The 15,132-nt window shown below is 45.4% G+C and overlaps 1 protein-coding gene across 4 annotated transcripts in view; it reads left to right on the top strand.

Moving 5' to 3' along the window:
* CDYL2 (chromodomain Y like 2) overlaps positions 1-15,132 on the top strand; it is a 207,131-nt gene that overhangs the window by 113,826 nt on the left and 78,173 nt on the right. For all 4 annotated transcript variants that reach the window (XM_011522866.2, NM_152342.4, XM_011522867.3 and 1 more), the window contains exon 2: positions 6,083-6,674. In XM_011522866.2, the coding sequence (XP_011521168.1) occupies positions 6,083-6,674 (592 nt within the window). The remainder of the gene's footprint in view (positions 1-6,082; positions 6,675-15,132) is intronic.

Here is a 15,132-nt window from a genome sequence, read left to right as displayed (position 1 = left end):
TTGAAAGGATGCAGAAAGAAAGGTCTTCAGGGATGTGGGGTTTGAGGTACAGAGTTAGGGAATGAACTGTTTCTGGCCAGGGATGGCTGCTCTGGTATATGGATGGGCAGAGGCTGTAGGCGTGGATGTCTTCTTTCTCTGTTCTTTTTTTTTTGGCCTTGCTTTTTGCTCCCAGAGACCAAGACATGTACTAGTAAACCCACAATTTCTCAATCCAGTGCCATGTGTTGGGAAGATATCCCTTCAGCAGTCTGCAAAATCTTTGATTGTAATCCTGGGTTCCAGAGCAATTGTAATTTTATACATTGTGCTGGTTTGGTGGGAATCTGTGGTGGGGATTATGACTGGTGATGAGTCTGTTTCCATTTGGACCAATGAAGAATTGAAGCAGAGGGAGAGGAGGCCCTGTGGCTGGCATGGTAGGGGCTCTAGGAGAGGCCAGCGCAGGAGGCTAATCCGAAGTGATGGAAAGATGCTTCAGGACTTCAAGGAAATTGGCAGGAGTTGAGGGGAAGAGCCTGAAGCTGCGGATATGCTGCCAGCCTTGGTCAGGTTGGACCCACTGCACGATGAGAGGTGTATATAATGTGGTCGCCGAGAGCATGGGATTTGGAGCCAAGATGCATTAGACCAAGTCTTAGCTCTTCTGTGCTTACCAAAGTCCATAACTTCTGGGTGCCTCAGTTTTATCCTCTATATAAAAAATAAGAAAATAAAATTACTTACCTTGCTGGGTTATTTTGGAGAGTTAATGTATAGGGATCAAGTACAGCAGCAGCTGGCCCTTAGTCATGCTGAATCAAGGTTAGGTGGTGATGGTGGTATGTTATCAGCCTGCTAGTGGAAAGGCTGAGGAGGAGGGGGTGGTCTCCCTTGCTTGGAAGGCCCCTCACTGCTCCAGTCCTTCTCATCTCTACAGGCTGAGTTTGCTGTCAGTTTAAATTGTCCTTTCTTGGAGGAGCCTTTGTGACTGTTCTGTTTGAAGTAAATCCATTCCCGCTGCCGTTGTTTCTCACAGCACCTTCCTCTTTGCCATCAGAGTACGAGTCCTTTTTTATTTCTATTTATTTTTTTATTTTTTTTTTATTTTTGAGACAGAGTCTTGCTCTGTCTCCTAGGCTAGAGTGCAGTGGTGCGATCTCGCCTCACTGTAACCTCCGCCTCCTGGGTTCAAGTGATTCTCCTGTCTCAGCCTCTGGAGTAGCTGGGATTACAGACATATGCCACCACGCCCAGCTAATTTTTGTATTATTAGTAGAGATGGGGTTTCACCATGTTGGCCAGGCTGGTTTCGAACTCCTGACCTCAGGTGATCCGGCCACCTCAGCCTCCCAAAGTGCTGGGATTACAGGCCTGAGTCACCGTGCCTGGCCCAGAGTGCTTTTTGTAATTTGTTACTACATATTATGTTGTGCTCCTTTTAAGGCCTGTGTTTCTCACTAGCCTGTGAGCCATGATGGCGGTCTGCGAGGTTTCTTGTTGCACGCTGGTGCCTCGCGTATCAGTGATCCTTGAAGAGTTATTGTATGCGTCACTTCCGTGAAGCCGTTTCCTTCCTCAGTATCCGTTCCTCTTGTTGCTGTTCCAATGGTTCATGCTTTGCTTGGCCCTGCCCTGTTCTAATAGCTTCTCACTGGCAAGATGTGGCTAGGAACTCAGGCTGTTGCAGTCAGATGAACTTGGGTTCAAATCTTGGTTAACCAGCTACTGACTGTGTGATCAAGGGAAAGTTACCTACCTTCTCTGAGCCTCAGTTTCCTCCCCTGTCAAATGAGAATGATGTCCAGCTGGAAAGCTGGGCATAAGATGAAATCTAACACCTGAAAGTGATTTACACAGTTCCTGGAACTATGCATGTACCAGTCAAGATGATTGTCATCAGTATTAATCCTACTGAGACAGCCATCCAGGTGGCATCCTGGCACTGGTAATAATAGCATCAGCATTTCCCTGCCTGCCACCTGCAATAGAGCAGAGTCTCACATTAGCTGGGATCATGGAGAGTAAATGTTAATGAATGATTTGATTGAACTCTGAGGAATAGTTCAGCATCTCAGATTGCTTATTTTTGAGAAAAGAAGCTGGTGGGGGTGTGTACACAGGATTTTCTAATGTCATTCATTCATTCATTCATTCATTCATATGTGCAAATAAAGGGAAGAGAATTAATTATTGTTTCCATTTGGAAGGACTGAGCTTCAGGTAAAGCAAGTGGCCTGCCCAGGTAGAGCGGGGGCAGAGCATCAAGAGACAGAGCTGCCAGGACCAGGGGTACCAGCTCTCTGTTTTTTGTTTGTTTTTGTTTGTTTGTTTTTGGTGTGAGGAGTTATGAGACAGTGCAGGAAGTTTGGAGGAGCTTAAAAAGGATTTCCCAGAGAGAGAATGTTGCAGTCATATGCAAGGTCAAGTCCTAAACGACTTGGGCTTTTTCTATCAACAGAACAAATTACAATTCAGGTTCTGTTTGAGGTGCTCCTGAGAAGAGGAAAAGAGTCAGAAACCTACACAAAGATGTATAGAAGATTAGGTCCTGAGAGATGCCGGAGATCAAAGTATGCTGGGGTATTTGGGAGCCAGCTTTCCCCTGAGTTTTTTGTGGTTATTCCAGTGTTTCAGGAAAAACAGTGTTTTCTGAACCTGCAAAAACCTTGTGTTTGTTTGCTTTTTTAAATTGGGGGTGAAACAATGTATATAAAAGCAGTTTTGTCAACTGAAGTTCATATGTATCGGAGTCATCCATTCATCTTGTAGTGATGCTTTTCCTGTATCTTAATTCTTTCAGTTTTTCTTTATTATTATATATTTTACCGATGGGGACACCAAGGCCAGAGAGGTGGGGTGACATGCCCAAGGTCATACAGATAGAAAATGACAGAGCCAAGGTGTCTTCCTCCACATACCAGGCTATTAGAGATGGTCCTGTTAATACTGCTCATCATTGGTATTGGGTTAAGTAGAAATTGTTGACAAGCCACCCAGTGGCTTTGTGAATGGGACCAGAGGTAGAAGAACTAGCCTTGATGTCCCCCATAAAGCTACCTGTGACTCTGTGATTGCAACCTCCAGTAATTTGGAGGGAACAAAACTAAGCTCCGCCTCCAATGTGGCCCCAAATAGCCATCTAGACCCTGCACCCTTGCTAACCTTCAGCTTTTCATGTAGCCCAACTATGCATAGCCACCTTCCATGCATGGAAGCACTTATCTAAGTAGGTATACTCTCTCTTCTTCCCATGGAGGAGTTGACTGTTTTAAGGGGTCATATTCTGAAAGGTGGAGGAACATTCTGTCTTTAGACACCACTAAGGTTTGTGGTCACAGGAGTCTATGCAAGATTACTGTGGAATGCAAACGTACATAGTTGTGTATTTTCCGCAACAACCCCAAGAGATAGGCGCTATACTTCTGCCTTGCTCTATGAGTCATCTGAGGCCCAAAGAGGTTTAATAACTTGCTCAAGAACACATGATAAGAGGCATAGCAGGGGATTTAAAACAGATCGTTTTGTTACAAAGCCCTGTTCTTAAATATTTTGCTAATGCCATTTTGATAAGTGTCATCTATTAATCTATCCATCCATTTATGAACCCACTTCTGTCCCCACCTTTTCATCCATCCCACATCTGTCCATCCATCCATCCAGCCAGCCAGCCAGCCATCCATCCATCTATTCATTTATTTATCCATCTAGTCACCCATACATCCTACCATCCATCTATCCATCTATCCAGCCATCTATTCATTTATTTATACATCTAGTCACCCATACATCCCACCATCCATCTATCCATTCATCCATTCATCCACCCACCCATCCACCCATCCATCCATCCACCCACCCACGCACTCATCCATTGTGTTGGCTATTTGTCTAACATGGTCCTCCACTTCATCCTGGGGAAGAAATTTCTCCATCCCGGGAAGTGAGCATATATTGTCTAGAGCTGGAGGCTTCCATGAGAATACACCACATCCCTTAGCTCCCAGGAAATATCTGGGCGCTGCTGCTGTTCCTAGGTTGGTGTCCTCACAAATGCTGCTGTTTCAGGCAATGTCAGATTGCTTACTCTCTTTCCTCCCTCAGTAAACCTGTAGAGAGTTTCTCCCTACAATGTTCACAAAAAGAGCAAAGCTGCAGGCTCTTCCAGAAATCCTTGGCGTTCTGAAGCATTATTACAAAGGAATACTCAGTAACTCCATTCCTTAACCCAAAGGTTGGATATTGGATTAGTTAGGCATGATTTTACTTTTTCAAAAATGTTACAGAGTTTGTGTATTATATCTAAAAATTATCTAATAAATCTAAAAGACCTGTTCCCAGGACGTTTAATAAGGAAACAAATTTTGATAGCCAGTTTGGATGGAGATAAATTAATTAAGGAAACAATTTAAATTGTCTATGAAGAGGCAGTATTATAAAGAGGCAGTATGGTCTAGTTATTTGCATATTTATTAAGTGCAAGGCAAAGAAAGTGGTTTAATTATTTTGCATGACCTCTGTTGTGCAAAAGCCATTGATGAGACAATCCCACTTTTCAAAGTTTTTTCACTTTTTAGGATTAAAATTCTAAACATACTAAAATTCAAACACGTAAACATAAACATCCATATAAATTACCCCATGTATTCATTACCCATTTTCAACAATTATCAACTATGACTGTACTCACCTTTGCTCACCTGTTTTATTTTTCTTTTTGTAAGTTTCAGAGGCTTATTCCTGACTCGACTTAATTTTATTGGGTCAAAATTCCATTCTAGAAAAGCATATTATATTGATATTGAAGTAGAATAAACTTTTGAATATAACTGCTTACTTTTTCATTGAAATTTAGCATTTGGAGGGTACAACATTGGGAATTTTCCACCTTCTTTTAATTGAAAAAGTTTCAAGTCTACAGCAAAGTTGAAAGAATACTAAATGAACCCTCACATACCCTTCAGTTAAATACAACAGTTATTAGCATCGAGACTGGCATTTTCCGAGTGTATTTTTCCACGGGATTACATAAAGACAAGGGAGGTTTTCTTGCCTTTGAAGACATGTAGACAGTAGCTCATGGCTTTAGGGCCTGACACATAAAGGTTCAAATCCCACCAGTATCGCCTGCGAGCTGTGCATGGTAGGCGAGTTGCCTTATATGCAATATCTTCATCTATCAAATGGAAAAATAATAGTGGTGTACACCCACAGGGACATGTGAGGTGCATAGTAGGTACTCAGCAAATGTTACCTATCTCTTTGCCTCCTAGCTGTGCCTCTGTGTTGCAGCTGGGGGAGCTGTGTGGGGAGAGCTGGACATTTTCAGTTCAAGTCCTTTTTGGTCACTGTGGAAGATTTTTGCAGTTAAGAGAGTTAGTATGGCCTAGTGAGTAAGAGAATAAGTCTGAGGTGAGAGTGGTTCAAACCCCAGTTCTGCCCTTACCATTCTGGAACTTGGTTAAGTTACTTGGTCTCTCTGAGCCCTCGTTCTCTGACTGTAAATTGGGGATAGAAAAATATTTACTTCATTGAGTTTTTGTCCACGAGAAAATGAGATGGGAGAGTCTATGCCCAGCATTTAGTATAGTGTCTGGCTCATAAGCACCCAGTGAATGTTAATGATCATTGGTATTGTTATAAGTAAGGATAAATTGGCATAGTACCTCCCATATAATTGCTCAATAAATGTTACTTATTATAAATAAGGATGAAGAACTCACACCAAATTGGTCTTTAATAGCCTGCATCTACTTTGGTGCAATGAAAAGAATAAAGATCTCTTGTGAAACCTTGCAAGGCAATTTCAAATAAAAGTAAGCCTGGATGGACATGTGGCTACCACCAGCTGGGCGTGTCATCTAGCGTCATCATGGGAAATGGCTGCATGTGCCTTAGGTTCCATCCAGTGATGTCGTAAAATAAACCAGCCTTCTTGAACCCTCCTGCCAGTGTTGGCTTCTGGCATTGAATGGCTCGTGGCTCACCCCCTGGCTAGGGTAGATGCCTCTATCCCAAAGGCTTTATGGTGTTCTTGTTGCCTCGAACTGAGTTTTTTCCTCCCTCTCTCTCTGTTTTCTGACCCTCTCATCTTGTATCGCAGGTTGAAAGGATTGTAGACAAGAGGAAGAACAAGAAAGGAAAATGGGAGTATCTTATCCGATGGAAAGGCTACGGGAGCACCGAGGACACGTGGGAGCCGGAGCACCACCTCTTGCACTGTGAGGAGTTTATTGATGAATTCAATGGGTTGCACATGTCCAAGGACAAGAGGATCAAGTCAGGGAAGCAGTCCAGTACCTCCAAGCTGCTGCGTGACAGTCGAGGCCCGTCGGTTGAGAAACTGTCCCACAGACCTTCAGATCCTGGAAAGAGCAAGGGGACCTCCCATAAACGGAAGCGAATTAACCCTCCCCTGGCCAAGCCAAAAAAAGGGTATTCAGGCAAGCCCTCTTCAGGAGGTGACAGGGCCACCAAGACGGTGTCTTACAGGACTACCCCCAGTGGTTTGCAAATAATGCCCCTGAAAAAGTCTCAGAACGGGATGGAAAATGGGGACGCCGGCTCTGAGAAGGATGAGAGGCACTTTGGAAATGGGTCCCATCAGCCTGGCTTGGATTTGAATGATCATGTTGGAGAGCAAGATATGGGTGAATGTGACGTGAATCACGCTACACTGGCGGAGAACGGGCTCGGTTTGTAGCTTTTCTTTCTCTTGGGTTTGGCTCTGGCCATGGCGAAAGGGGAGCTCTGCCTGTAGCCTAGGGACATACATAAGACCCCCACCTCCATCCCCGTCTCTTAGCTAGCCAGCAATTCCCCCTTCATCTCTCTCACCTAGAGCTTTGTGGACTCGGTCGTAGGCCCATGTTGGTTACAGACCCTCATGCATGTGGGGAGGCTAAGCCTCTGATGCTCCAGCCAAGGTCTGGAATGGGTCCAAAGTTCCAGACTCTTATTTCAAGACACCCAAGGCCATGGTAACCCCTCTAGACCCACTTCCCTGAGGGCAGCTCAAGTCCTCACCCCCAGGACCCAAGACACGTGTCCTCAGCGGGCCAGTGCCTCCCAGGGCACAGTGCAGAGCCCTTGCTTGCAGCCTCATCATGCCCCCAGCAGTGTAGCCCAGAGAGGTAGGGTCTGGGTTGGGGTCCGTGCCGTCTTCTCAGACACAGTGTGGACTTGGAGTTCACCACGCCAGTGCCTGTGCTGGAGCCTCTTGTCCTTCTGCTATCTCTAGGTTGGATGATTGACCTATATTAGGTCCTGTCTTAGTCTGTTCAGGCTGCTGTCACAAAACACCTTAGAATGGGTAATTTATGAAAAATGGAAATCTAATTTCTCACAATTCTGAAGGCTAGAAGTCCATGATGAAGGCACCAGCAGATGCTGCATCGGGTGAGGGCCTGTTCCTCTTAGCTGGTGCCTTCTGTGTCCTCACATGATAGAAGGGGCAAGGCAGCGCCCATCAGCCTCTTTTATAAGGGCCACTAATCCCATCCACAAGGATGGAGCTCTTATGACTTAATTACCTCCTAAAGGCCCCTCCTCTTAATGCTGTGACTGTGTTGTGGCTTAGGTTTCTTCATATGAAATTTGGCAGAACATAAATGTTCAGACTGTAGTGGGTCCTAAATGCTGTCTTGACCTCATCCTGCACTAATTCTTTCGATTGGCAGCCTCTTACTCTAACACAGCCTGCATATGTTGTGTTAGGTTATGGAATTCCTCCTTTTTCCAAAGTCTCTGTAGGCAAAATTAAGGAAACAGGAGGTGATGACCCATGTAGTTCATACTCCCAAACATGAGATTTCCTGTGTGGTCACATTGCCCCTTACCTGAGTCCTTCATGGCATCAGTCTTTCAGGTTAGCTGCTTGTGCCAGTTATGTGCAGTCCCTCACTTCTCAGACACCTGTGTGTCTACCTGGTGGCATTTGTCTCTTTGGCTGCCAGAGACCCGAGCCTTGGAATGTCCAGAAATCTTACAGGAGTGTGGACAACCATTGCCCAACAGGGCAGGGCCATCAGATTCCCTGATGAAACCAGGGTGCGTGTGGAGACCGGGATGCTTGGATGCAGGGGGAATGGTTAGAAGGGCTCACAGAAGGTTGGGGTGATGAGGCCAACACACTTCAGTGTGACGATGGTAGATTTGGAGTCCAGAACGTGCAGAGCTGGCTCCCCTGCAAGAGCTTGCTGTCTTTAGGTACTCTTGCTGAGAAATCTGAGCAATCCGTGTTGAGGCTCCTCTTTCTCCAGAGAGAGGAATTTCACCCAAACAGGATTTACTTAGCATCTTTGCCCCAGACTGACTCACGTTTCCGTCTCGGGATCCCTGACGCTGACGTGACTGTGCCTGTGAACATATGTAAAAGCTGTTTGTTTTAGAAATTCATCTCTCGGGGAGAAGTGGGCTCGTGTAAATGGGGCTTGGCATAAACACCCGTGTTTGATGTTGCTGTGACGGCTGCTGGCGGTGGCGGAGTTCCCTGTCTCAGGAAGGGTGGCGAGGGGAGATTTTGTGGCCCTTTGGGTGCAGGGGCAAGGCTCTGGCGGGGTTCCCTGCATTCCAGCTGTTAGCAGCTCCCTGCCCTGCTCATATGGGGCAATCCCAAGAGTAAAGCATGAGGGAGGAAGATTTGCTGACTGTAGCTGACAGTCTGCAGTGTGAAGGAGAGAAGCCAGACTCATAGAGGGGTCTACATGAGGGTGTGCCTCTTGTGCTGTGCAATCTTCTGCGGTGAGGCAGAGCTGCGAGCTCTGTGCTCTTCACCCTTCGGCTTTGCTGATGCCCCCTGGTCCATGACCTGGTGATAAGGCATGGTACCCCACAAGCAGGGAAAACAGGTGAGGGCCAACCTGTTGAGATCCGTTGATTGTCCTGTTAGCTCCAAAATGCTATTCTAGACCTTTCTTGTCTCTCTGATCTCTTATCTTCCTCATATTTGCCTGACGTTGTGTGTTCTCTACTCCCACTTGAGCCAATGCTGGCCTCTATTTTGTTCTGTTTTGTCTGTTTCAAAAGGGCCCTTTTGCTTAATCACATCCCATAGCACTGGTGCCCGTAAGGTTAAGGCACTGGTTCTCAGATTCTGCATGTATTAGATTATCTGGCAACTGATGAGAGATGCAGATCCCATGGAATCTGATTTCCTAAGTCTAGGGTGGAGCCCAGGAGATGGACTTGTTAACAAACTTCCTGGGTGACTCTACCGCATTTTGAGATGAGCTTTGTGGCCAAATGTGTGGGGGGTGGGACCTTGAAGTTTCACATCAGGTGTCAATTTAATTCAATTCAATACTGATTTTTTTTTATGACTTCCTAAGAGTTATTCACCATGCTGGGTGCTTGAAGTAGAGTAATGAAGAGATAGGTATGGACTTTTCCCTCTGAAACTTATAGCTTCCCTCTGAAACTTGCCAGGAAGTTGGAATGCCGGCCTCTGGCCCCATGCTGAGAAGGCGCCCGAGGCTGGCTCCATGGAAGGAGTAACACATATTACATACATGTGCATGGCTTCACCATACCCACAATGACGTCTTCTGTGGTCACTCGTGTGATAATTGTCCCAGCCACCATCAGCCTTTCACCTTCTAGTCAGAACTAGCTTGTTAGCCAGGTCTGGGGGAACTGGGAAGAGGAAAAGACTGAGAATCCTTGCTTGAGAGAGAAGGAGAGTGTTGAAGAGAGTGGTTTGAGGTTCCTGGACAAGACCCAAGACAGGGGATGCCGTGGTTCCAGAATTTTTCAGCAACAGGCCAGAGGTGTAGTCCAGCAAAACGTGTTTCCATGTGTGTTTTCAGCCAGAGGGAAGCTTTGCTGAAGCCAGTGTTCAGGCCCACGTAGCCCTGAATGTCCTCCTTCTACCCTCTTCCCTAACCTCACCTTCCCTTATCTGGACTAAAGGATCCAGTCTCCAGGGGCCCAAGGGTGAGCACTGGGGGTTTGCAGCACAAAGGAGGGCTCATCTTAGCCCAGCAGAAGGGGTTGGGGGATCCTGGCTGCAGTTGCACAGCATTTGTTTTGGGGGTGGGCTGTTGCTTTTTATATGGTTTTAGCTTCTCTTTGGTGAGTTAAGGTTCTGCATACAGAACAGCAACTTATGTAACATGTTACTCATTTACTGCTGACTTCCCTGATCTACTGTGGAACAAATGCTAAATTGGGGCTCCGGCGGGTGGTGTTTTGGTTTCAGACTGCGCTTTTTCCCCAGCAGTGTTTGTGGGGCGTGTGCAGCAGTTCTACACTGCTCTTGATTCTGAGTCTTCTCTGATAATGAGTACTGGCTTTGTGGTCCGGGGCCCATCTGCCTCAGTATCTCTTGGGGAGCTTGTTAAAACGGGCTGTATCCCAGTTGAATGAATCAGGATCTCAGGGGGCTGGAGGGGTGGGTTCTGCACGTTCATGCTGAATTGTAACAGCCACAGGTGTGTACAGGAGCTCCAGCAGATGTGTTTGGTCGTAAGAGATGGTTCATAGATCCATCTGTTGGTAGATCCATCTTTACTCCCTGGATTTGAAGCTTGTGAGAAGGAATGTGATCTGGTCCTTCAAAGTTTTAAAACCTGTCATAGTTTCTCTGCCTTGCTTGCAGTTTCTACTAGGCATCTCTCTCTTTTTTCTAAAACTACGCGAGTTTCATCGGTACAGAAAAGCTGGTGGGTTTGCTAACCCTTGCTGTGGTTCTGCCTTGGTGAACTGCTTAGCACTCGTCTAAACAGGCCAAAGCATCAGTGTTCTATGGATTCACACGAGCCTTTACTCTGTGAAACGTCCCTAACTAGGAGCCATCGTTTCTCTTTGAGCCCTAGAATAGCATAAAGACTTGCAGCGTTCTCCAAATTACCAGGAAGGTGATGAGCATCACTGTTGATGCCAGTCTTGTGGCCCCATGTCCACATTTCTGAAAGGACGTTTAAGATCCTTTCCTTGCATCTTGATGACTGTTGTCTGCTGCACAGACGTTGCATCTCACACATTGCATGATTCAGTGTTTGCAGAATTATCTCTACCATTGAACGAGTCATTCCACACAACACACACACGCAACATTTGCCATTTTCTCTCCATTGATCTTTTAAAATCGTCTCAGCTTTCACTTCTAGAACATTTGTTTATCTCTTCCTACTCACTCTTTCAACATGATTATCATTTTTCCCTTTATTGATTATAATGGATAACCATGTTTTAAAGGCAGTTGGAAACTAAGCGCAAGCAATGGGAAGTGGCCTATGGCTTTTGAGAATCTAGGGGCTCCCAAACATGGATCCGGCGTCAGAATCCCTTGGAGGGCATGTTGAAACACAGACTGTTGGGTGTACCTTCAGCATTCTGATTTAGTAGGTGTAGTGTGGAGCCTGAGAATCTGCACCTCCAGCAGAAGTTCCTAGATGCTGCTATTGGTCCAGTGAGCCCAGTTTCAGAACTACTGCTCTAGACTAATGAGCTCCAAGATGGCGGAGATGAAAATGCAGATGGTGTTGTGCCTGCCAGGTGGTGGTATTGAGGAAACTTGAAGTGCTTGTGCTCTGCACCTGGAGTTGGCATTCATAAGACTTTGTAAAGAGAAAGTTTGTGAAATGAAAAGCTGTAAGGTTGAAAGTTTTAGAGTATAAGTACTTCCCTGAGATGAGGCCTTGGAGTTTCCAAAGTACCTTGTGTGATCCTCATGGCAGTCGTGAGAGGTAGTTTTTCTACCCATTTTACAGAGGTGGAGACCGAGGTTACAAGTGTCCAGGTTGGAATTAGGAGAGAAACTCAGGCAATTTGACTGCAAATTTAACTATAGAGCTGGCCTCTATACCACGGCCCAGCTGGATTCCAGGCAGTAGAATTTCCCCAAGCCCTGATTACTGACAGAGACATTTTGTGACTGGGGGAGGGTCAGGAGTGCTTGGTGGTACAGGATGTACTTCTTTGACACCCTCCTTGTTTGTTTATTTATTTATTTATTTATATATTTTTATTATTATACTTTAAGTTTTAGGGTACATGTGTACAATGTGCAGGTTAGTTACATATGTATACATGTGACATGCTGGCACAATGCACCCACTAACTCGTCATCTAGCATTAGGTATATCTCCCAATGCTATCCCTCCCCCCTCCCCCCACCCCACAACAGTCCCCAGAGTGTGATGTTCCCCTTCCTGTGTCCATGTGTTCTCATTGTTCAGTTCCCACCTATGAGTGAGAATATGCAGTGTTTGGTTTTTTGTTCTTGCGATAGTTTACTGAGAATGATGATTTCCAGTTTCATCCATGTCCCTACAAAGGACGTGAACTCATCATTTTTTATGGCTGCATAGTATTCCATGGTGTATATGTGCCACATTTTCTTAATCCAATCTATCATTGTTGGACATTTGGGCTGGTTCCAAGTCTTTGCTATTGTGAATAGTGCCGCAATAAACATACGTGTGCATGTGTCTTTATAGCAGCATGATTTATAGTCCTTTGGGTATATACCCAGTAATGGGATGGCTAGGTCAAATGGTATTTCTAGTTCTAGATCCCTGAGGAATCGCCACACTGACTTCCACAATGGTTGAACTACTTTACAGTCCCACCAACAGTGTAAAAGTGTTCCTATTTCTCCACATCCTCTCCAGCACCTGTTGTTTCCTGACTTTTTAATGATTGCCATTCTAACTGGTGTGAGATGGTATCTCATTGTGGTTTTGATTTGCATTTCTCTGATGGCCAGTGGTGGTGAGCATTTTTTCATGTGTCTTTTGGCTGCATAAATGTCTTCTTTTGAGAAGTGTCTGTTCATGTCCTTCGCCCACTTTTTGATGGGGTTGTTTGTTTTTCTCTTGTAAATTTGTTTGAGTTCATCGTAGATTCTGGATATTAGCCCTTTGTCAGATGAGTAGGTTGCGAAAATTTTCTCCCATTTTGTGGGTTGCCTGTTCACTCTGATGGTAGTTTCTTTTGCTGTACAGAAGCTCTTTAGTTTAATTAGATCCCATTTGTCAATTTTGGCTTTTGTTGCCATTGCTTTTGGTGTTTTAGACATGAAGGCCTTGCCCGTGCCTATGTCCTGAATAGTAATGCCTAGGTTTTCTTCTAGGGTTTTTATGGTTTTAGGTCTAGCGTTTAAGTCTTTAATCCATCTTGAATTGATTTTTGTATAAGGTGTAAGGAAGGGATCCAGTTTCAGCTTTCTACATATGGCTAGCCAGTTTTCCCAGCACCATTTATTAAATAGGGAATCCTTTCCCCATTTCTTGTTTTTCTCAGGTTTGTCAAAGATCAGATAGTTGTAGATATGCAACGTTATTTCTGAGGGCTCTGTTCTGTTCCATTGATCTATATCTCTGTTTTGGTACCAGTACCATGCTGTTTTGGTTACTGTAGCCTTGTAGTATAGTTTGAAGTCAGGTAGCGTGATGCCTCCAGCTTTGTTCTTTTGGCTTAGGATTGACTTGGCAATGTGGGCTCTTTTTTGGTTATTTATTTATTTATTTTTATTTTTATTTTTATTTTTTTGAGATGGAGTCTCGCTCTGTCGCCCAGGCTGGAGTGCAGTGGTGCAATCTTGGCTCACTGCAAGCTCCGCCTCCTGAGTTCACGCCATTCTCCTGCCTCAGCCTCCCGAGTAGCTGGGACTACAGGCGCCTGCCACCATGCCCAGCTGATTTTTTTTGTATTTTTATTAGAGACGGGGTTTCACCGTGTTGGGCAGCATGGTCTCATCTCCTGACCTCGTGGTCCGCCCGCCTCAGCCTCCCAAAGTGCTGGGATTCCAGGCGTGCGCCACTGCGCCTGGCCGACACCTCCTTGTTTATTGATAGATGGGTATGGTGCTTCTGAGCCTGAAACGCTGTGACTAACTCCATGCCACTCAATCTGAAAACCTAGATAACATCATCACTTCCATAGAGAAATACAACTCAACAAAACAGCCTAAAGGAGGGCTAGAAAGCCTGAAGAGAGAAATAACTATTAAAGAAATTGGGCCAGGAGTGGTGGCTCATGCCTGTAATCCCAGCACTTTGGGAGGCTGAGGCAGTGGATAGCTTGAGCCCAGGAGTTCAAGACCAGCCTGGGCAACATGGCGAAACCCTGTCTCTCCAAAAAAATACAAAAATTAGCCAGGTGTGGTGGCACATGCCTGTAGTCCCAGCTTTCCAGGGAGCTGAGGTGGGAGGATCACTTGAGCCCAGGAGGTGGAGGCTGCAGTGAGCTGTGATTGTGCCACTGCACTCCAGCCTGGGCGACAGAGCGAGACTCTGTCTCAAAAAAAAAAAAAAAAAAAAAAAAATACATTGAATTGGTTGTTAAAAAGTCCTCAGAAGAAGTAAGAAAGGAGGAACACAAGGCCCAGAGGGTTTTGCAGGCAAATCTAAACGTTCTAGAATAGATCATCTGACCACACATTCTAGAGCAGATAACCCCTCCCTTATCCAAATGATTATGGAGAACAGGAAAATGGGAAAATACTCCCAACTCCTGTGACGAGGTCAGTATGACCTGGATTTCCAAACCAGACAAAGAGAGGAGGAGAAATGCAAATTACAAGTCAATCTCACTTCAGAATGCAGTAGTGAAAGTCCTGAATAACCTTCTGGGCTTATTATAGTTCCCTTGATACTTCCTCAAAACTACGACTGTTTCAGAAACATCTCATTCCTTGCCCTGAACTTGACCCCAGTTCATTGCCTTTAGAATCACCACTGCTTCTCTGGGTGAGGAGCTTGTCCCAGAAGAGGCCCAGGGAAACTGGTTCAGGAAGGCTCTGACTGTCATCGGCAGTGGCCCCACACTATCTGGTGAACCACTGAGAGGTCAGGAAGGGTGTTCCCGGGGCAGCCTCTTGTCAGCACAGGTATCCATGTATCCACTTCCCTGAGCCCAGCTGTTCTTCCTGACCCACTTCAAGTACCCACCCCCAGGCCAACACACTTTCACTAACCTTTTCAATTTTTAAAAGCAGATGATTTTTCCAAGTCAGTAACAACAAAAACTTGAGGGTTTTTTAATCTTTTGTCTTTCACAGGGTGGCAAGTAAGGAAGGTGTGCTAATGAACTAACTTAAAACCCTTTGATGTGGTGGTGTTAAGACCCTGTCCAACTTGGCCACCGCCCTATGCACATGGAAAGTGCCAGGCTGTGATGGGAAATCCGACTCTTTAACCAGGAGCAACT

Source organism: Homo sapiens, chromosome 16 (genome assembly GCF_000001405.40).
Source record: "Homo sapiens chromosome 16, GRCh38.p14 Primary Assembly".
NCBI classification, from domain to species: Eukaryota; Metazoa; Chordata; class Mammalia; order Primates; family Hominidae; genus Homo; species Homo sapiens.
Note: the sequence above shows the minus strand (reverse complement) of the source record. Positions and strands in the feature narration are given on the sequence as shown.